Source organism: Homo sapiens, chromosome 1 (genome assembly GCF_000001405.40).
Source record: "Homo sapiens chromosome 1, GRCh38.p14 Primary Assembly".
NCBI classification, from domain to species: Eukaryota; Metazoa; Chordata; class Mammalia; order Primates; family Hominidae; genus Homo; species Homo sapiens.
The window spans coordinates 33,536,865-33,559,250 of NC_000001.11; the positions used below are offsets into that span (position 1 = coordinate 33,536,865).

Below are 22,386 nucleotides of genomic sequence, written 5' to 3' on the forward strand. Positions count from 1 at the left end.
AGCACTGTTCAAAGAGGCAGAGGGCTTTCTTTCTGCGCTTTCCAAGCTCTTGTCCTCCCTGAGTGCTGTCCTGAGGAAGGTCTCTGGGTCCTCTTATGTTGACAGTGACAAGAAGGGATAGGATGTAGGAAGACCCTATCTTGGCTGACCTCCTTACCTGGTAGCCCTGAGAATTGTTCTGTATCCCAAACTGTGGCACACCAGGGTCCGCACACGTGGTCAGGGTCGGATCTGGATGGCCAAAACAAAGACACAGATCACATGGTCATGGAAGCCTTCACGGCCTCATCTCACTCTGGGAAATAGGTGTAGAAAAGAAAATGCGGCCACATCCTGACTTCCCTGCCCACTGAGATCCCCACCTGAGCCTTGGCCCTGGCTGTCTATTTGACTCCTCGAAGCACACTAGCTCTGGCTATTTTACATCCTGCTGCAGAAGCTCAGAGGATGAGATGTTCCCTTTTGCAGATGAGACCACTGAAGACAGGGAAGGAAAGTAATCATCTCAGGCCCAAAAGAAGGTCTCCCGCAACCCCAGCCAAGACGCTCCCTGCTCCAGATGACCTCTCACCTATGCAGCTGGGCTGGGTGCCACTCCATGTCCCATCTGACTGGCAAAACCTGCGTGGAGAGCCCACCAGCACCAGAGGGGGATGGCAGGAGAAGGAGACAGATGACCTGTAGGAGAAGCCTCGGTCCTCTCTCCTCCCACGGGACGGGACACCAGGATCCCCGCAGAACACAGCTGGGAAGACGAAGGGAGAAAGGCAGGTCTAAGTTGCTTTCCAGAACCCAATCTTCCAGTCCCACACCCCCATCTTTGTTCTTTGCACTGCTCCCTTCCTGGTTGAGCTTGAACTCTGGGAACCGGGGCAGCCCCAGGTAGGTGCTTCCACCTGCTGCGGTGCTGCTGCTGATGGGGGCTTCCTCTCCCTTCTACATTCAAAGTGCCTATTAATAATGATCCAAGTAATGGAGTAACATTACAGGAAGTTTAGAACATGAAAGAGAAATAAACGAAAATCCCACTATTCAAAACTTTTTTTCCATTTTCACGCACATTCTTTTCCAATCTTTGTTCAGTTGTATGGAAACTTGTGCGGAGCGGCAAACCCAAGCCTATGTGATCGTAAATCTTGTTTCATTCACTTAGCATTATCTTGTAAATATTTCCTATGTTTATGACATCATCATCGCTTATTGGCTACACAATTAGCAACAGGTGGTTGTACCATAATTATATTTTATCATAATCCTTATATTGGGCATTTTCTATTATACAGTTATATATAACTCTTCTTTCACCTGTTTTGTTTTCTTTTTTGTTTTTTCTTTTCACATGTATTACTTTCTTAGGAGAATTCTCTAGGAGTGAACTTATTATTTTTAAAGGGCTGAACACATCCACAGCTCTTGATGGGTAGTGTCAAATGTCTTTCCCCAAAGGGTACACATTTACACTGCGGTGGGTAGTGCATGGGTGTACCCATTTCATTCAGGCCATGTTAACATCAGGCAGTGCCATTAAAAATTGACTACCAAAGGCAAAGCTCACCACGATGTCACTTCAAGCATTGCTTTATGCTATGATGCAAATGTGTGTGCGTGTGCGTGTGTGTGTGTGTGTCTGTGTGTATGTGTATATGGAGTCATGAGATACATAACCACATGCAAAATAAAATGAAGCTGGACCTGCATCCTCTGCCCTGAAGGTTGGGGTGTCTATGCTGACCAATTAGAAGTCAGTTTAAGAATCGATTGATGGGAAGTTACTGTATCCAGAAGGAGGCAACTGAAAGAACCAGAAACACAAACGGCTGACAAGTGAAGAGCAACCAGCGTGGCCTTTCTCATAAGCAATGTGATGCCAATTAAAGTAATGAGCGATCTTTTAAAGCTCCTCAGGCTGGTAAATATTTAAAAATACTGGCACAATCCATTATTGATGAGGGTGTGCATCCAGAAACATTCTCATTAACTGCTGTGGGGAATGTAAATTGGGACAGTTTCTAGAAGACAGTTTGACAACATATGTCAAGAAGGGAGGCATGACTGCCCTCGGCCCAGCATTCTCATGCCTAGGGCTTTGCTGCAGGAGTAAAGAAAGGCATTTTTTTTTTTGAGATGGAGTCTCACTCTGTCGCCCAGGCTGGAGTGCAGGGGTGCGATCTTGGCTCACTGCAAGCTCCGCCTCCTGGGTTCACGCCATTCTCCTGCCCCAACCTCCCGAGTAGGTGGGACTACAGGCGCCCGCCACCACGCCCGGCTAATTTTTGTATTTTTATTACAGACAGGGTTTCACCTTGTTAGCCAGGACGGTCTCAATCTCCTGACCTCGTGATCCACCCACCTCGGCCTCCCAAAGTGCTGAGATTATGGGCATGAGTCACCTCACCCGGCCAAGAAAGGCAATTTTCAGGAATACATATTGCAGAACTGCTTCTAACGTGATTAAGTTGGAGATAATCTAAATTCATCACCAGTGCAAAAAGATTAAATAACTTGTATCTACAAGGAAATTCTTTAAAGCCATTAAAAATGATGATGCATAGATCAGTAAATATTGATAAAGAAAGGTAGAAAGGTATTGATGGAAAGGTTTTGGTGGCCTATCAGTGAATACAAGTTATGAAACAGTATGTACAGCATGAGCCAATACCAGTTCTAGAAAATGTATACATATCACTATCTATTCAAAAATGCACAGTGATTCACACGGGACACCATCAAAAGCTGAACTGTGGTTATCATTGGAAAGTGTGAGTTCAGATGACTTTTACTTTCTTTTTTGTATTTTCTAATGGGTAAAATTTTTTTCATGATGACCATAATTCATTGTTAAAAGGCACTTCAGCTATTTCTCCAGAGGAAAAGCAAGGTGGCTGAGTCCAGACTTGACCCTGGTAGTATGTGAAGGTTGGAAAGGGTAACATTGCACCAAATACCTGTGTCCAGTTTTGAGCTGCTGGCCCTAATCTCTGAGGAAATCCCCAGATGGAAGCAAATTTTCAGAGGAACCCAAAACAGTATCATGAGTATGTGGATAGTTTTCTGCAGAATTAGATAAATGGCAATTAGAAAAATACGTCCTACTGTTTGCCCAAAGCACGGGCATGGAGAAAACCTTCCAGAGCCCATTCACAGGGTGTGACAAGAATAAGTGACCCAGAACCTGCTTACTGGGGATCTCAGTAAAGAGTAAGCCCTGGAATAGATTTGGGGCTCCTCAGGATACAACTGGGCCAGGTGTATAAAAAATAAAGCAACTCACCAGAAAATCACAGGTTTCCCAGAAGTCTTTTCTGTGCAGGTCATTTTTCATGAAAACAGACATGTATATAGCACTGGGAACCCTCAGATCTTGGAGTACTATTCCATACAGTTAACAACCCTTCAGGTAAAAAAAAAAACACCCCCAATATCTCTAGCTTAATTTCCTTCTGTTACCATAGACAGTATCTGACACCAGGGCTCAATTAAGGGATCCTCATTTTCTTCCTTTCCACTTCCTTCCCTCTTTAATAGTGTCTTTGATGAAGCTCCTCCCTGGTTTTGGGGAGGGGACTACCTATTCTGGGCCTTCCAGCCACAAAGCTCCGAGGAGGCAAGGGGAAGGAGCTATTGAAGAGGATGCACCAAAGGCCCTTGTAAGCAACTTACGGAAACACTGAGGCAGCTCTCCGGTCCAGGACCCATTTCCCTCACAGGTGAACACCGCGGGCAGGGAGAGCTGGTACCCCTCCAGGCAGGCATAAGTCACACTTGAGCCCCACATGAAGTCAGACCCCACCACCTTCCCATTGGGGATGAGCGGAGGTGGCTTGCACATGAGAGCTGGAGGGAGACCAAAGCAGGCTGAGTTCTGATGCTGTCCTGGGAAACCAGCCCCCGTCACCATCATTGATATCACCGACTACCCTGCACCCACCTAGAGCCTGGGCTAAACAGGAAGAACCAGAATGGGGCCCTCTTACTGTGGGAGTTCTGATCTTTTTGCACCTTACAATGCCCTCTCTCAAGTGTGACAACCCAGTCCTCTGTTTGCGGGACCCTCCCCTCAATGTTCATGGCCCAGGCCTTATTTTGGTACTTCTGATTCACTCCTGGCAGATGTTCAGGGGCCAGTTTTCTCACCTTGCACATCCCCTGATAAGATGTTAGGGCTGGCCTTTCACCCCTCTCCCTTCTAGAGAGATGCTCAGGGCCTACATCTCACTTTTGTATCTTCTTTGGCTCTCTGTCCACATTTGCAGCCCCAGACACACCTTTGCAGACGGGCTTGGTTCCATTCCATGTCCGGTCCTTGGTGCAGCTCAGCACAGATACTCTATGTGACTCCATCATATAGCCAGGGACACACTGATATGTCACAGTTTTGTTGTACCTGAAGTCATTGCCCAGCCGAAGGCCATTGGCTGGAATCCCAGGGTCACCACAGTTTATGACTAGGATAAGAGAGATATAGCATTGTTCACTCCTGGCCAGGACCCCACTTCTCCTCCAATACCATCCCTATCACTCCCTGCATGCATCCAAGAAGGGAAACTGTCAGATCAGGGATGCCCTGTCTCCTCACAGGATCCCAGTTGGACATTACCCATTCTAAATTTCTTTTTTTTTAAGTCAGGGTCTTACTCTGTCACCCAGGCTGGAGTGCAGAGGCACAGTCATGGCTCACTGCAGCCTCGAACTCCTGGGCTCATGCAATCCTCCCACCTCAGCCTTCTGAGTAGCTGGGACTACAGGCATGAGCCACCACACCCAGCTTGCCCATTTTAAATTTTGTTTTGTCAAATCCCTGGCATCAGTCCTGTCCTTGCCCACACTGTCCTTATGCACCGCTGCAACTTGGGCTATGAAGATTCACCTTATTCAAAGTGCCCCCTCTAAGAGGAAGTATCCAGAGGGCTCAGTTCCTAAATGAGGCTAGGACCCAGGGAAAGGGAGTTTTCTGTTTGAAGAACCTAAGGTATATTAATGAACCACATGAGACAATTGATTTGTCTGCTGAGGGGTACATCTTATCACCTGCTGTTGTACCTACGAGGCCTCTGTAGGCCCAACAGCACCTACACAGGACTCCTAGGGACAACAGCCTGGAAGCAGGGTCTTATGGCCCATGAAAGGGTCATGCCTATGTCATCATATCATTGAGGGTGGGGCTTGGTGAGCTCTGGTCTCAAAACCAAAGTGAACTTGACACGGGATTTCAGAGGGAGTCGAAATCACAGACTAGGACTTTGACAGGGAGAATCTTGTCACATTTCCTCATCCTATCTCTTCCCTCCATCTGGATCCCACAGTGACTCACTTTTCCCAGAAAAGAACTGGGACTACCCTTGAGAGAAGCAAGAAATTGGAGCTGTGAGGCTACACCGTGCTCAGGAACCCGTACTGGGTGGGGTCGGGTACAAGGACAGAACGAAGCAACAAAGATGGCAGATAGCTGCATCTTTGAAGTGAAAAGAGAATCAGGTTGAGCTCTGGGGTTTGATTCTAAGAGATAAAAGGGAAAGCCCAAGGAATTGGCTAGAGCCTGAGAAATGGCCAACATATATTCTCTGCCTCTCTGAGCCTCAGCCATCTCATATACAAAATGGGGATAATAGTAGCTACTTCACGGAGTTACGGAGTTATGGTGAAGATCAAATGAAATGTGCATATGAAATAAAGTACTTCGCTCAGTGGCTGCCACATAGCATATGCTCAACAGAGGCTATTCATATGATTATCGTTCAGGTTCAAGTCCGACCATCCCAACCATTCTGCACCATCTTCCATGGATAGCCTTCTCCTCTGGCATGCAGGATCTGGGCCACTGTTGGCCATGGAACCCGTAGGGCCTGAGCTCTCACCGAGGCACTCAGGGTCACTGCCTGTCCAGGTACCATTGACCGAGCAGTGACGGCTGAGCAGGCCTGTGGCGTAGTATCCTTCCCGGCACTCATAGACGATAGAGCTGGAGAAAACCAGGCCATCACTGAACACAACTCGGGCATTACTTGGAGTCCCAGGGTTCCCACAAGAGATCACTAGGAAGACAAAAATACACATTATTCACCAGAACAATGGTGGGTATCACCTAGGGGACTGATAACTGCCCAGAGTGGAAGCCACATGCTACCTCGGGACCTCGTGGATAGAAATGCCTCTCATGCTGCTTTTGTATCGAATTATCTTGCCCCTAGACAGGAAGGAGAGACCCCTATGAATCTTTTGAAATTTCTGAGCAAATTCCAGTTTTTTACAGAAAAAAGATGATCTATTCTATTATCGTCCTTAAAATTTTAAACACAATTGCTTAATATCACCAAATATCCAATCAGTGCTTGATTTTCCTCAGTTGTTTTTCTCTTTTTTTAACAGTTGATTTGTTTGAATCAGGATCCAAATAGGGTCCACACATGACATTTGGTTGACACGTCTCTAAGACTTTGAACCCAGAGATGATTATTTCTGCTTCTATAATTTATTTGTTACAGAAACCAGAACATCTGTCCTATAGAACTTCACACTTTCTGGATTTTGCTAACTGCATCAATGAGATATAGTTTAACATATTCCTCTATCCCCTGTAGTTCCTTCCTGTAATCAAGTTCCGCCTTTTGGCAATGGTATTCATAGGTGGTTTTGGGCCTCTCCTATTGCATTGGATAAGAAGCAAAGAATGTCTGGGTGTTTTCTTGTTCATGATGTTGAGGCTCATCAGTGATTTCGGGCATGCCTGCCTAATGTGGCATTATGAAGTTTCCATTATGAAGTTTTTCATTTAATAGTTTTAGCAGTCATTGACCAGATTCATTATTTCATTAGGGATTGGAAAGTGGTGATATTCTAATTCTATCCTTCTTTCTGCATTAGCTAGAGTTCTTTAGGAAAGACATTTTCTATCATCAAATATTTGCTTACCCTGAAATACTGTTCATATAGGAACGCCAGATAATGCTTGATTTTTTGTGTGTGGTTTTTATTTTAAATCAAATGTCAGAATAATGAGTTGGTTTCCTAGCAAACTCCAAAGGTGACCAATGTGTTTATTTAAGAATCATTTTGAACTCATGGATCTAAAGATATTTTTTATGTTCCCATCCATTGCCATTATTATTCTTATTGATGCTCAGATTCTCCATCTTTAGCCAATAGGAGCCTCTTCTAGTTGGCTCCTGAGTCCAGTTAACATGACCTCAGTTATCTTTGGTGGAATCCTCGCTGGAGTGACAAGATGTTCCATATTTGTCTTTTTTTTTTTTTTTTTTTTTTGAGACGGAGTCTCGCTCTTTCGCCCAGGCTGAACTGCAGTGGCGCTATCTTGGCTCACTGCAAGCTCCGCCTCCCGGGTTCATGCCATTGTCCTGCCTCAACCTCCCGAGTACCTGGGACTACAGGCGCCTGCTACCACGACCGGCTAATTTTTTTTTTTTTTTTTGTATTTTTAGTAGAGACGGGGTTTCACCGTATTAGCCAGGATGGTCTCGACCTCCTGACCTCGTGATCCACCCGCCTCGGCCTCCCAAAGTGCTGGGATTACAGGCGTGAGCCACCGCGCCCGGCCTCCATATTTGTCTTGTATATTTCCTGCACCAGCCCGGGAATTAGCCATTTCTCCAGAGAGTCTAGTTTCTTTTAATGGAGAATGGACCACAATCCAGGCAGTAAGAGTACTCATTGCCACTGATCTGGTCATTGATTCTAGACTTTTAGAGTTAGAGCTGTGAAAATAACTTCTTAAATTGAAAATACATGGGGATCACGTGGAGGTAGAGAGTGGAAAAACAGATAATAGAGCCTGGGAAGGGTGAGTCAGGGGAGGGGGAGGATGAAGAGAAGTGGGTTAAAGGGCATGGACATGCAGTTAGAAAGAAAAAATAAGTTCAATGCTTGATAGCAGAGTAGGGAGACTATAGTCAAAAATGTATTGTACTTGAGTGATGGACACTGTAAATGCCCTGACTTGACCACTGTGCATTTATATATATATATATATATATATACACATATAATCTCTGCCTCACATTCACCCTCTTTTCCCTTGCCACTTCTGCCAATGTCTTAGTTGCCTGTCAAATCTCCAGCTCTGTACCCAATGCACTGTCTGCTCTGTGCCCACAACTAGGTAGCAAAATGAGCTTGAACAAAAACATGGTCCCATGCTGACTGCTCTCACTTTAAATTAATGATCCCCCCACCTTAAGTGAGCGCTCAGTGCTGCCTGGCCATTACACACTTCCCAATTCCATTCCACTTGTATCTTGCTAAATGATTATCTCCTTCCTCTTCCAGATCTTCTCACTCAAACTTACTCTCATCTGTTAAGCCTGCTTCCTGCCTAGGAGAGTACTATGCAAGCTGTATTTTAGAAAGAGAGAGACAGAGAGATTTGGGGACCAACTGCAAGAGGAGAGAGAGATTTAAAAATATACATTTTCCCCAGAAACTTAGGAATATATGGAAAAATGATAATTTCTCCCATTGGTGCTACCTCAGGCAACATCACTGAGGGCCTAGATTACTTTGAGAGTTTTCTAAAATTGGATTTGTATATCTTTTGGCACATTGAATATTTGTTTCACGTAGTCTCTTCCCTTAGACTGTAAGCCCCAGGAGATCAAGATGTGTGTCTCCGTCTGTTCAGGCTTGGACATGGTGCCTTCTTGCTGTGTCTTCACATGGCACAAGGGAAAGGGAGCATTCTAAGGTATTTTCTTTTCTCTATAAGAGCATTAATCCCATTCCATGACCTAACAACTTCCCAAGACCCCACTTCCTAATACTATCACTGGGTGACCAGGTTTCAACATATGATTTTTGGGAGGTCACAAATATCCAGACCATGGCAGTGTCCGTCTTGGTCACCATTGTGTCCCCAGCACATTCCACAGCACTTGGCACATAGATGCTGAATGAAACTATATGGGAAATGAATGAAATAGTGGGTCAAATTCAGTCTTTTTTGATTTCTTCCCTTTTGAGGTGAGAGTGGGAATATGTTTGTCTTTTGATTACTAATGAAAATGCACATGAATTATCTGTTGCAGTCCTATCAGCCAGGCTGAGGGTTCAAATGGGGCCACGGTTTTTTTCTGTGAGCGCAGGTGCCTGGGAATAAGAGCAGGAGCAGGGGCGAGCTCTGGGGCTGGGCAAAGGGGAGAAGCAGAATGGTCACATACATTACCTCCACACTCAGGCTGCGAGCCGCTCCACGAGCCATTGGCTTGACAGGTGCGCTCTGACGATCCCCGGAGCACGTGGCCAGCTTCACAGCTGAAGCGCATCACAGTGCCTGGATCAAAGCTGTCCCCCAAACGGATGCCATGAGCCGGGATCCCAGGGTCACCGCAAACTCCCACGCTGGTTCCTATGGACCAGAACCACACAAATCCCATTATTTTTCAGGGAAGAAAAGGGAGTGGAGAAGCAGGGGAGAAAGATACTGGGATGGGACTAAGGGGATGCAGTGGGTCCCACGAATGAGGCCTAGCACAAGTTACCTGCACATGCTCCTGCCTCCATATGCAATGGTGGAAGAACACAAAGATCTGAGGCCATGGGTAAGTCCCTGGGAACCACACAGGGAGGGGAAGCAAGAAGGCAGAGGAAAGGCTCTGTGGCCCGTGCCAGTCTGGAATTTCAGTGATCCAAACTGGCCACAGGTCCTCCTTCTCCCCTTCCCCTCTTCTCTACAAACACCTGCTGATTCTGTAGTCCCATCTCCTCTCCTGTGCCACTGTCTTAGCTTAGACATTCAACATTCTTTTGCCTGAACTCTTGCAAGAGCCTCCCGACTAATGTCCCCTCCTTGTAAACTCTCCCTCTAATCCATCTTCTACTTTGTCCTCTAATCTTAACAATCACTAACCATCTGACCTTTTTTTTTTTCAAAAAATTTTTTCCTGCAGAAACATCTTTACTGGCTCCCCGATGCCATAGGATAAAGTCCAAACTGCTTAGCATAGCTTCATTTCTTAACCGCCTAGCTTGAATCTTGATCTTGGGCATTTATTTATTTATTTATTACTTTTTAAAAAGTTTCATTTTATCTTTAATTGACAAATAATCATTGTACATATTTATGGGGTAGGAAGTGATGTTTTGATGCATGTATTGTATATTTCCAAGTAGCTGTAGGAGAGAATTTTAAATGTTCTCACCACAAAGAAATGATAAATATTCAAGGTGATCGATGCTGGGCCTTTCATTAAGGATTCCCTACTCACAAATTATGCCATACAAGTGAGCTCTAGAATAAACATCTCAGACCCTCTCATTTCATTTTTGCTTCACCCCCTTCCTCTTGCTACATTCCTACATTTCTCTGGCTTCTGGTATTGTGCAAACCCACTCAAGAGACCTCCAAGGACCCAAGGAGCGAAGAAGGGTAGAGAACAGGAGACAAAGCCACAAGATCTATGGTCCCCTGCAGGGCCAACACATTTCATGATACAGAAATGTGTAGGAGATGTCCTTAGATCAGACCAGGCCATGGTAAACATGAGGAAAGAGGAGAACAATTACCGAATAAATGACAACTGCATGAAAAGATAAAGTTACAACTATCATGGAATCTATCTCCTCATGTAACCATGTGTGGGCATCAAATGGTAACATCTGAGTGACCACATCTAGTTGGCTGGAGCCAATAAATGTTTAAGTCATGTGTACCCCACCACTTGCCATTTATGTCTTTTCCACTTCTCAACCTTGGGATTATTCCCTTTCCTAGTCTCGACTCAGACTGTGAGACACTACCTAACCACATGTTCTCCATTCTGTTTCCCACTGTGGAAGAGGGATTCATTTTCAACCTTCAATGTAAACATTAATAAAAGAGAGCTTATCGCATTTGGCTAGGTTTTCTTATCTTTTGAAGGTTGCCAGGATGTAATTCACACAACAGGCAGAACTGGGTCTCCCTGGAAACAATCTTGATGGTGAGCAGCTCTAACCCACACACTGGCTAGCTAACCTCAGCTGGAGCTAGCACTATTGTAAAATAGGCACAAGATGGTTAACGTGGTTTGGCTCTGTGTCCCCATTCAAATCTCATGTTGAATTGTAATCCCCAGGTTGGGGAAGAGACCTGGTGAGAGGTGATTGGATCATGGGGTGGATTTCCCCCTTGCTGTTCTCGTGATAGTGAGTGAGTTCTCATGAGATCTGGTTGTTTGAAAGTGTGTTGCACTTTGCTCTCCCTCTCCTGACAGCCGTGTGAAGATGTGCCTGCTTCCCCTTCTGCCATGATTGTAAGTTTCCTGAGACCTTCCCAGAGGCAGAAGCCTGTACAGCCTGCAGAACTGTGAGTTGATCAAACCTCTGTTGTTTATAAATTACCAGGCTCAGGTATGTCTTTTGGCAGTATGAGAACAGACTAATACAATGGTGTTCAGTCCTAGGGGCTTTTTCTGAAAGAATGGCCCCCACTACAGTATTGGAGGCTTCTAGTTCAGTGATGGAAGGGAGTCTGGACAGGATATTGCACCATGGGGGCAGAGTAGATAGATGGCAACTATTTACCGAAGAGGCAAAGAGAATGACAGTGGAGATGTGGGTGGTGAACTTCTTGAAGTAGGTCTCAAACTCCAGAAATCTCTCCATAGCCTTGGTGGCCCAGTGGTGTATGACTCAAGGACTTAAGAGGTTTTGTTGTGCAACAGTTGGGTCCACTGCTTGCACACAATGAGACTAAAAACTTTGACCTGGAATTCATGAATGTGTATTTCATAGGACTGGCAGGAGATGCCACTGCAAAAGACGACATTGTTTCAGGAAGGGAGGAACTATCTCTATATCTGTGGTATATACCTAATGTTACTTCCTAATTGCCTATTCTTCTCATCCCTTATGTTCTCATCCAAGGGATTTAAGGTTCACTCATTGTCTAGCCTTTGCGTACATTGAATTCCTTCTAATTCTGTTTTCAGAGAGCTCCAGGGAGGCTGGAGAGGCAATGTACATGACCCTTGTCCTCTCATGCTGTATTGCCTATCACTTCTACCAGATGTCCAAACAGAAAGAAGCCAGGGCACAGTTAATAGGCCTTCCTCTAGCCCAGCTAAATGAGTCATCATGGCTCCTATATAGTCCTGCCCGGTTCCTTAATTAGGTGTTTAATGAGATTAATAGGGGTGAGAGGCCAAAGTCCTGGGTGGTCATATAGAGTGATGTGTCTGGGATTTCCTGGGCAACCAACAGCCCTTTGAAATAGTGGCTTTGGGACTCTTTTCTTTCTGGAGAGATCTAATGAATATCTCATTAAATATTCTGGCAGTGACCTAACTTTTGGGAGGCAGGCTCATCTGGGAATGTCAAACTGCAAGAACAGTGGCACATCTTATGGGTAAGGTCCTACATCAAGGAGAAGGCTTCTGTATTAGGAGGAGGTCATGATCCTTTCCTCTGAAGGGATCTGGCATGGGAAGGGTTACGGGTTAATTTCAATGCCAAGGTGGGCCCTCCGAGGAACATCAAGCTGCACAAGCAGCTCCCTCTTGCAGGCAACATGGAATCCCTTCCTAGGGCCAGGCAGGTCCCCCTCAAAGAAGACAAAGCTGCAAGGCACTAATATTTTAGCTTGGTGGTTTCTGCTATTGGCAGGACAATTCACTTGCAAAATTTTGTTCTGCTATATGGCATTACACATTCATTTCTGGTTTGGATACTGTGGACATAGGACCTTTGGCAGTTCTCTACATTTGCGATTTTGATAGCATCTGTCAGTGTCCTCATTAGCAGTAAAAGGAACTTAACAGGAAAAGTCTGGGGACTGGCGTTTCAAGGCAGTAGAGAAGAAGACTGTACCCCACTAGGTAGCCAGGACATAGGACAAGTTGAGGGGCAGTGATAAGAAAGGGAAGGAGGCTGGGGCCTACGAGTCTGAAACAGAGAAGAAAAGAACACAGGAGTGGGCTTGGACCTGAGCACGAGTCTGAAACAGAGAAGAAAAGAACACAGGAGTGGGCTTGGACCTGAGCTGATCAACAGGAAGACTTGAACTGTCCCCAGGAACTCATAAAATCAAGTGTCTGGACAGGACTCTGGCCATAGGTTGACCTAAAAAGTTGTGCCCCTCCTAGTTTTGCAATCCCTGGGCATGGTCAGGGCTGACTGAGGGGATAAGGCAGGGCTCAGCCCACCAGAAGCTGAAGCTCCATTGGGACCTTGTCTTGCTGTGCTTTCTACCTGTTAGGGTAGATATAAGGGTTCTGAGGTCTGATTCCCTCCCATCCATCAATCACACTCACACCTTGGGGGCTCGTCTACCTCCCATCAGTCAAGCATTCCACTGGAGCTCTTTCCTCAATGCCATGCACCATACCTGAGCAGTGAGGGAGGGAGCCAGTCCAGTGTCCATCCAGCCCACACATGCGGGTGCTGTTTCCCACCAGAGTACGCTTGCCGATGCAGCTGTACCGCACCACTGCTCCCACAGTATAACTGTCTCCAGACATCTGGGAGTGAGGCGGGGAGCCCGGATGGCCACAGGACACCACTGTGGGGGAAAAGCAAACATCTCAATGACTCTGCACAGGGATGGCTCACCATCACACAATCCATGCTAGGCTTCTTTAAGCAAGAGGCTGGGAAGAAGAGAAACCCAAGGGTATCTGTTGAAGCAAACTTCCTGCTGGCATGCCCACCTGGCGTTGGCAGACAATGTCCACTCAGGGGACAGTTTTCCATATCTATGAAATGAGGAATAATACCTTCTCAGCATGTAGCAGATATACAATAACATTAGATTGTTTTCTCTCTTGCCTCTTATGCTTACCTCTCCCTATTTCCTCATACTCATGATGTCTCTGGGCAGGAAGGTGGTACGCAGAGTATACACAAGACAAAAATGGGAGCTCTGTCACCCTCAGATTGTCTTCATTGGCCAAGGATTCCAGAATGAAAGCCAATTATAGCCCTTTTCCATCTGCATCTTACAGTTGCCTCATCAGTTGTCCCCAACCTGTCCCTCTCAGTATGCAAGTTCCCTTTACTAAAATACTGAAGTATAGCTGTGAAAACAAGTGAGAAGATAGAACACCAGAATTGAGATGTCTAGGCAAGGGTAATGCTTTCAACATTACTGGGGCTGGTCTTCCCATTGGTCTTGTCACAGGATCACAGGTTGATCCTAAGATTCTCTCATTTACTCAACACACATTTATTGAGTCCCTGTCATGTGCTAGACACTCCGTGTGTTTGGGAAGATCAAGTGACTTTGAGAAGTTACTTGAATGATGTGAAGAGGCCAGCCATGCAAAATTTTGGAGAAGAGTATTGTTGGGGATGGAACATCAGGTATAACGGGCCAGAGGCCAGAGTGAGTTTGCTGTGTTTGAGAGACAGCAAGGAAGCCAAGGATGCTGGGACTGGAATGAGCCAGGACAGAATGGAAGAAGACAAGGGTGGAGAGGTCACTATGAGCCAGATCATGGCATGAAAATTGGATTTTATTATGAGCATCTTGGGAAGCCACTGGAGTTATATGATCGGATTTACATTTTAACAAGATTATACTGGCTACTGTGTAGAGAAAGGACCAGGTGGTACAAGAAAGAGGGAGCTGTTGCAGTAGTTCAAGGAGAGATGATAATGTCTTGGAGTCTGGTAGGAGATCCCTGTAGACATCATACCCAGAAAGCCCACAGGGCATAGCATACAGGCAGACCACAACAGGTGACCAAGTGGTAAAACCTGGGTTGGGCCAGTGCTGACCCTGATGATGAATTTTGGTAGGTACTGGGATGGTAAGAATGGGTCTTAGGTATCTTCACTTCTCAATGTGGTCTTAATATGGGTCAAACATTGTTCTAAATGCTTATGGTAGATTATCTGCAAAGACTGCTGCTACTAACAATTCCTCCCATCAAGGAGTGGAGTCTTTTTCCCCTTTCCCCTCCCCTTGAATCAGGCTGGCCTTGTGACTTGCTTTGAATAACAAAACATGGTGGAAGTGATGTTGAGCCAGGTTACATCCTAAGAGGCTTGGCAGCTTCTACCTTCCCTGTTTGGAGTACTATGCCACCATGTAAGGAAGTTTGGCAGAGACTACGGAATGACAAGAACTCATATGAGGGGAGGGACCATGGACAATCACAATGCCCCAGCTGACAGCCAGTGCCAAGATATGAGTGAGGCCATCTCGGATCTTCTAGGCCCACCTGAGCCACAACAGCCAATAACATGTGGGGCAGAGATGAGCTGTCTCTACTAAACCCTGCCAGAATTGCCAATCATAAGCAAGAAAATGGCTGTTGCATTAAGTCACTATGATTTGTTACACAGTAAACACATAAAAATATGCTTAACACGATTCGTCATTAGAGAAATGCAAATGTAAACTACAATGAGATAGCACTTTGCATCCACTAGGATGGTTATAATAAAAATGATGAACAATAACAAGCATAGGAAAGAATATGGAGAAATTGTAATCCTTATACACTGCTGGTAGAAACGGAAAATGGTGCAACCACTTTGGAAAACAGTTTGGCAGTTCCTCAAAAAGTTAAATATAGAGTTCCTATGTGACTTGGCAATTTCTCTCCAAGGTATATGCCCAAGAGAATTGACAACGTGTTCACACAAAAACTTATACACAAATGTTCAAACCAGCATAATTCATAATAGCTAAAAAATGGAAACATAATAGTCCCAAAGTGGAAATGTTCATAATAGTCCCAGTTCATCTATCAATTGTCGAATGCATAAACAAGATGTGGTATATTCATACCATGAAATAGTATTTGGCCAAAAGGAATAAAGTATTGATATATGCTAAAACGTGGATGAACTTTGAAAATTTTATGTTAAGTGGAAGTAGCCAGACACAAAAGACACACATATAATTCCATTTATATGAAATGTCCAGAATAGGTAAATCCACAGAGACAGAAAAGTACATTAGAGGTTGCCAGAAGCTGGGGTGGGGTGGGCAATGGGGAGTGACTTTTAAGGGCTGCTTGGGAATGATGAAAGTGTTCTGGAATTAGACAGTGATGATACTTGTACAACTTTGCGAATACACTAAAATCACTGAATTGTATACATTAAAAGAATGCATTTTATGGTGTGTGAATTATATTTCACTAAGAAAAAGAAAGAAAAAATGCAAATGGATTAAATCCTCCACTTGAAAGAAAAGATTGTCAGATAGGGTTTAAAAATCACAATTACATGCTTTTTACATAGAGAGCAGTTAAAAATAAAATGATAAAAAAATCATGCCAATACTAAAAGAAGGAAGCTGGTTATAAGTTACAGGTACACCTAGTTTTATTGTGTCTTGCTTTAGTGTGCTTTACAGATGTTGTTTTTTTTACAAATGAAAGGTTTTTGGTAACCCTGTGTTGAGCAAGCCTAACAGCACCATTTTCCCAATAATACGTGCTCACTTCATGTCTCTGCATCACATTTTGGTAATTCTCACAATATTTCAAACGTTTTCATTATTGTTACATCTGTTATGGTGATCTGTGATCAGTGATCTTTGATGTCACTATTGTAATTGTTTTGGGGCGCCATGAACCATGCACACATAAAATGGAGAACTTAATTGATAAATGTTGTGTGTGTTCTGACTGCTACACCAACTGGCCATTCCTTGTCTATCTCCCTCTCCTTGAGTGCCCCTATTCCCTGAGACCCACCAATATTGAAATTAGGCCAGTTAATAGCCCTATGATGTCCTCTAAGTGTTCAAGTGAAATGAAGAGTTGTGTCTCTCACTTTAAATCAAAAGCTAGGAATGATTAAAAGCTTAGTGAGGAAGGCATGTCGGAAGCTGAGACAGCCCTAAAGCTAAGCCTCTTGAATCAAACAATTAGTGAAATTGTGAATGCAAAGGAAAAGTTCCTGCAGGAAATTAGAAGGGCTGCTTCCGTGAATACATGAATAAGAAAATGAAACAGCCTTATTGCCAACATGGAGAAAGTTTGAGTAAGTCTTTATTGTAGGGGGCTGTCCTGTGCATTGTAGGACGTTTAGCATCGTCCTTGGCATCCACCTACCATGGAAGGTAGGTAGATCTGGACAGAAGATCAAACCAGCCACAATATTCCCTTAAGCCAAAGCCTAATCCAGAGCAAGGCCCTGACCCTCTTCAATTCTATGAAGGCTGAGAGAGTTGAGGAAGCTGCAGAAGAAAAGTACAAGCAAGCAGAGGTTGGCTTATGACGTTTAAGGAAAGAGGCCATTTCTATAACATAAAAGTACAAGGTGAAGCAGCAAGTGCTGATGTGGAAGCTATAGCAAGTTATCCAGAAGATCTAGCTAAGCTAATTGATGAAGGTGGCTACTCTAAACAACAGATTTTAAAGGTAGAAAAAACAGCCTTTTTTTTTTTTTTTTTTTTTTTTGAGACAGAGTCTTGCTCTGTCACCAGGCTGGAGTACAGTGGCACCATCTCAGCTCACTGCAACCTCCTCCACCTCCCAGGTTCAAGCAATTCCCCTGCCTCAGCCTCCCGAGTAGCTGGGACTACAGGTGCACACCACCACGCCTGGCTAATTTTTTTGTATTTTAGTAGAGATGGGGTTTCACCATGTTGGCCAGGATGGTCTGAATCTCCTGATCTTGTGATCCACCTGCCTCGGCCTCCCAAAGTGCTGGGATTACACGCATGAGCCACCGACAGCCTTCTATTTGAAGAAGATGCCATCCAGGACTTTCATAGCTAGAGAGAAGTCAATGCCTGGCTTCAAAATTTCAAAAGACTGAATGACTCTCTTGTTAGGGATGAATGCAGCTGGTGATTTTAACTGGGAGCCAATGCTCATTTACCCATTCTGAAAATCCTAGGGCCCTTAAGAATTATTCCAAATCTGCTCTGCTTGTGCTCTATAAATGGAACAACAAAGCCTGGATGACAGCGCATCTGTTTATAGCATGGTTTATTGAACATTTTAAGCCCGCTGTTGAGACCTACTGCTCAGAAAAAAGAGATTCCTTTCAAAATAATACTGCTCATTGACAATGCACCTGGTCAGCCAAGTGCTAAATGATGAAGAGCTCCTGTACATCAGAACTGGAGATGTACAGGAATTGAATGTTGTTTCCATGTCTGCTAACACAACATCCATTCTGCAGCCCATGGATCAAGAAATAATTTTGACTTTCAAGTCTTATTATGTAAGAAATACATTTCATAAGGCTATAGCTTCCACAGATAGTGTATTCCTCTGATGGATCTGGGCAGAGTATATTGAAAACCTTCTGGAAAGGATTAATCATTCTAGATGCCATTAAGAAGATTTGTGATTCATGGGAGGAGGTCCAAATATCAACATTAACAGGAGTTTGGAAAAAGCTGATTGCACCCCTCACACATGACTTGGAGGGGTTCAAGACTTCAGTGGAGGAGGTCACTGCAGATGTGGTAAAAGTAGCAAGAGAACTAGAATTAGAAGTGGAGCCTGAAGATGTGACTGAATTACTGAAATCTCATGACCAATCTCAAACAGATGAGAAGCTGCTTCTTGTGGATGAGCAAAGAAAGTGGTTTCCTGAGAAGAATCAGGAAACTACTTTTGGTGAAAATGCTGTGAACATTGTTGAAACAGCAATAAAGGATTTAGAACTTCACATGAAGTTAGTTGATAAAGTGGCAGCAGGATTTGAGAAGACTGACTGCAATTTTGAAAGGCATTATACTGTGTAGGTAAAATGCTATCAAACAGCAGCATACGCTACAGAGAAACCTTTCATGAAAGGAAGAGTCAATCCATGTGGCAGACTTCACTGTTGTCTTATTTCAAGAAATTGCCACAGCCACACCAGCCTTCACCACCCCGATCAGTTTGCAGTCATCAACATTGAGGCAAAGTCTCCACCAGCGAAGAGTATGACTTGCTAAGGGCTCAGATGATTGTTAGTATTTTTTAGCAATAAAGTATTTTTAATTAAGGTGTGCATATTTTTTGACATGATACTACTGCACACTTAGATTATACTGGAAAACTAAAAAATTTGTGTGACTTATTTTATTGCGATTTTTGCTTTATTGCAGTAGTCTGGGACTGGACTTGCAATATCTCCAATGTATGCCTCTATATTAATATATATACCTATTAGTAATATCAACAGCAACATTAACAGGAGTTTGGAGTAAGCTGATTCTAACCCTCATGCATGACTTTGATGGGTTCAAGACTTCATTGGAGGATCTCACTCCTCCACTGAAGCAGCATCAAGAGAACCAGAATTAGAGCAGCAAGAGAACCAGAATTAGAAGAGGAGCCTGAATATGTGACTGAATTAACTTTAGAGAAAACAAGCATTGGGACAAAAAGTTAATATGGATAGGGTCACTTTATTATGATAAAAGCTGCATTTTACTAGAAGAAAAAACAATTTGAGTCCACTAGGGGCTGTGACTCTCAGCTGGCACCACTGTACACAGGTGGTGTCCATTTCTGACCCCAAACTATTTGCTGGTCATAAATGGGATTGGATGGCCAGGCCAGAGTTCTCAAGCGAGGAAAATACAAGCAGTGAGCAGCTATACCAGGCTCCTGTTAGACCTACAGCCACGAGGGCGTAAAAAAATGCAGTTGTCCAGACTGGAGGGCCTACAAAATGTATATAATCTGCCAAAGGTAGGTGGACTGCTGCATGGCCTTAACTGCATATCTATTACTCCCTCTTGAGTGCATCTTCACCTTTGCTTCTTGGAAGATGGGGGAGAGAGAAATCTATGTGGATTCACCTTTAGGAAACAGAGGGGAGAGCAGGAAACCAAGGGGTTGCTCTTCTCTTAAGGACGTGTAAGGCCAGGGACCAGATGTCAGGTGATATGGTTTGGCTGTGTCCCCACCCAAACCACATCTTGAATTGTAGTTCCCATAATCTCCACGTGTTGTGGGAGAGACCCGGTGGGAGGTAATTGAATCATGGGGGCAGTTACCTTCATGCTATTCTCATGATAGTGAGTGAGTTTTCATAAGATCTGATGGTTTTATACGGGGCTTTTCCCCAACTTTGCTCATTCTTCTCTCCCCTGCCACCATGTGAAGAAGGACATGTTTGCTTCTCCTTCCACCATGATTGTAAGTTTCCTGAGGCCTCCCCAGCCCTGTGAAACTGTGAGTCAATTAAACCTCTTTCCTTTATAAATTACCCAGTCTTGGGCAGTTCTTTATAGCAGTGGGAGAACAGACTAATACATCAGGATTCTGAGCACCTCCCCAACCCCTTTTAAAAAACCAGTTGTCCCCAATTCTTTTCCTAACAATAATTAATGTGGTCATTGTTTATTGAGTAGCTACTATGTACCAGATACTATGCTGGGACTTTTAATAGATTTTGTTTCCCCTTTAATCCTCTAATAACCCTATGGAATAGGTACTGGCATCATTTTTATAGATGAAGAAACTGACGCTCTGAGAGGTTAGTGAATTTTTCCCAAACCACACTACTTGTTCAGTAGCAAAGCCAGAATTCCAGTCCAAGTTGGTCTGCCTCCAGAGTCTGTGACCTCTCTGCTTCAGTCCTTTAAAGGGAAGGGGTTCATGTGCTGTGTTTCTGGAAGGGCAAGGAAAAGGTAAAGTTGGGAGATGATGTCCCGCGAGGCAGCCAGTTCTGAAAAAAGGGAACTCTGTAAGCTGAAGAGGGTGGTAACTAGAGAGGAAAGGGACCAGGCCTCTAGCTAGGAAAGTGAGAACACAAAAATTGGTATGGAAGTCACCCAACAGAGGCTCAAGAAGGAATCTGAAATCCCAGGAGTAGCCAGAGTGACTGTCACCATAAGGCAACTCATACATGTGCAGACACACACACACACACACACACACACACACACACACACACACATGCACAGAGGGGAGGACTGTTCTTTGACACGGGCCACCCCATCAGTCATTTTGAGCAGGTGACATCTACTTACAGAGACACTGGGGGCGGGGACGGTCCCATGTGCCATCTCCCTGGCAGCTGAGCACTGGGGTGCCCAGGAGGTAGAAGCCGTGGTTGCACCGGTAAGACACAGTGGTGCCGAAGCTGAACCTGTGCGGGCCGCTGGCGTGGACCTGACGAACACTATTTTCTTGGTGTCCAGGATCTGTACAGTTGATGACTGCAATTGAACAGAAGTCCAAACAGGCATGGATTCCCAGTATAGTAAAATCTTCCGAGCAAAACTAGGCAATGAAGCAGACCCTGTCGGGAGGGTGAGCTGGTCCCAAGGTTGCTGGACTTCTCCCCTCACCTTGGTTACCTGGTCAGAAGAGTCATCCTTCCATGTCCAGCTAGACATCACCTCCTTAGAGAACTCCTCCCACCTCTTCCCAGATTGATTACTCTCTTTCTGGTACTCCCTTGCACAAATCGCTATTGCTGACTTTACCAGCCTGTGCTGTGACTTGTTTGAACACACGAGTCCCTTGAGGGCATGAATGTCTAGTCTCCATATATCTGATCGTAGCACAATGTGCCTCCCACAGCAAAGCTTGTCAATTGTAAAACTGACGCATTTGAACTGACTTGAACAGGGTTGGGCTCTTTTGAAAATGGTTTTAATCACTTTTATGAGTATTTCAGGGACATATTAATATCCTGGGGGATATATTTGACTTTAAAATCTTAAAAGTGTTTCCAAAGCAGCTTAACTCAAAATCAGGATAAGATTTTAGAATAATGACAACATTATTCATAACCCATGACTATACTTTTCTTTCCAAACATCTTCAAATCCATTATCTTACCTGAGTCTCAAACTTATCATATGAAGTGGGCAGGAAGGTATTTTTTAAAAATCTTTGATAAGCCTTTAAGGATTTTTACTTTTGATGAGGCTCTCTGAGGCTTCACTGCTGTCAAAAGCCTCTAAAAGCGTTAGAAGCTATTTCCTAAATACTCCAAATAGAGCCAGGACATTCTGTATTCTCTCTGCCTTTTGAGTCTTTGGCTTCCTCTCTGTGTGTTTTCCCCCAGCCCTCACCCCCTTTATCTCAACTCTTAGGCTCTCTGCTTTTTAACCCTCTGCTTTTTCATCAAGAATGGGGATCTCTTAAGAGTGGTTCCAAAGGAGCTGCAGCAGCCATTTTGCAACCACAAGGAAAGACCAAGATATTGCTCCTGATCTCGTGGAGCAGCTGCAGAAATAATATTACTTCTAGATCTCTTGTTTATGTGAGAAAAATAAACCTCTGTTAAAAAATAACGGGGCTTTATAAGATAATGATACATTATTTGTTCAATGAAAGGTAAAAAAGACGACTTGAAAGATAAAACTTAAGTTTTGCTTTCCTTATATAACCCATGATGATGAAATTTTATGTGGCTCTTTATCTAAGGGTTGAGAAAGTCCTCATTTATGACCCTTCTCTGCTCCATCTTCCCTATCTGGATCAGAATGATGCCAGAATGAATTCACTGGCTTCTTTTTCTGAGCTACAGAACCAC

The 22,386-nt window shown here is 44.2% G+C and overlaps 1 protein-coding gene across 10 annotated transcripts in view; it reads right to left on the reverse strand.

Annotated features, from left to right (window-relative positions):
• CSMD2 (CUB and Sushi multiple domains 2) overlaps positions 1-22,386 on the reverse strand; it is a 651,845-nt gene that overhangs the window by 22,867 nt on the left and 606,592 nt on the right. For 8 of the 10 annotated variants that reach the window (XM_047443685.1, XM_047443656.1, XM_047443666.1 and 5 more), the window contains 8 exons: positions 20,870-21,058; positions 13,313-13,486; positions 9,173-9,355; positions 5,856-6,032; positions 4,266-4,445; positions 3,661-3,834; positions 572-745; positions 158-231 (listed from right to left, as the gene is read on the reverse strand). In XM_047443685.1, the coding sequence (XP_047299641.1) occupies positions 158-231; positions 572-745; positions 3,661-3,834; positions 4,266-4,445; positions 5,856-6,032; positions 9,173-9,355; positions 13,313-13,486; positions 20,870-21,058 (1,325 nt within the window). Of the gene's footprint in view, positions 1-157; positions 232-571; positions 746-3,660; positions 3,835-4,265; positions 4,446-5,855; positions 6,033-9,172; positions 9,356-13,312; positions 13,487-20,869; positions 21,059-22,386 lie in introns of those variants that run through there. The other 2 variants (NM_052896.5, XM_017000191.2) reach the window with 2 other exon arrangements.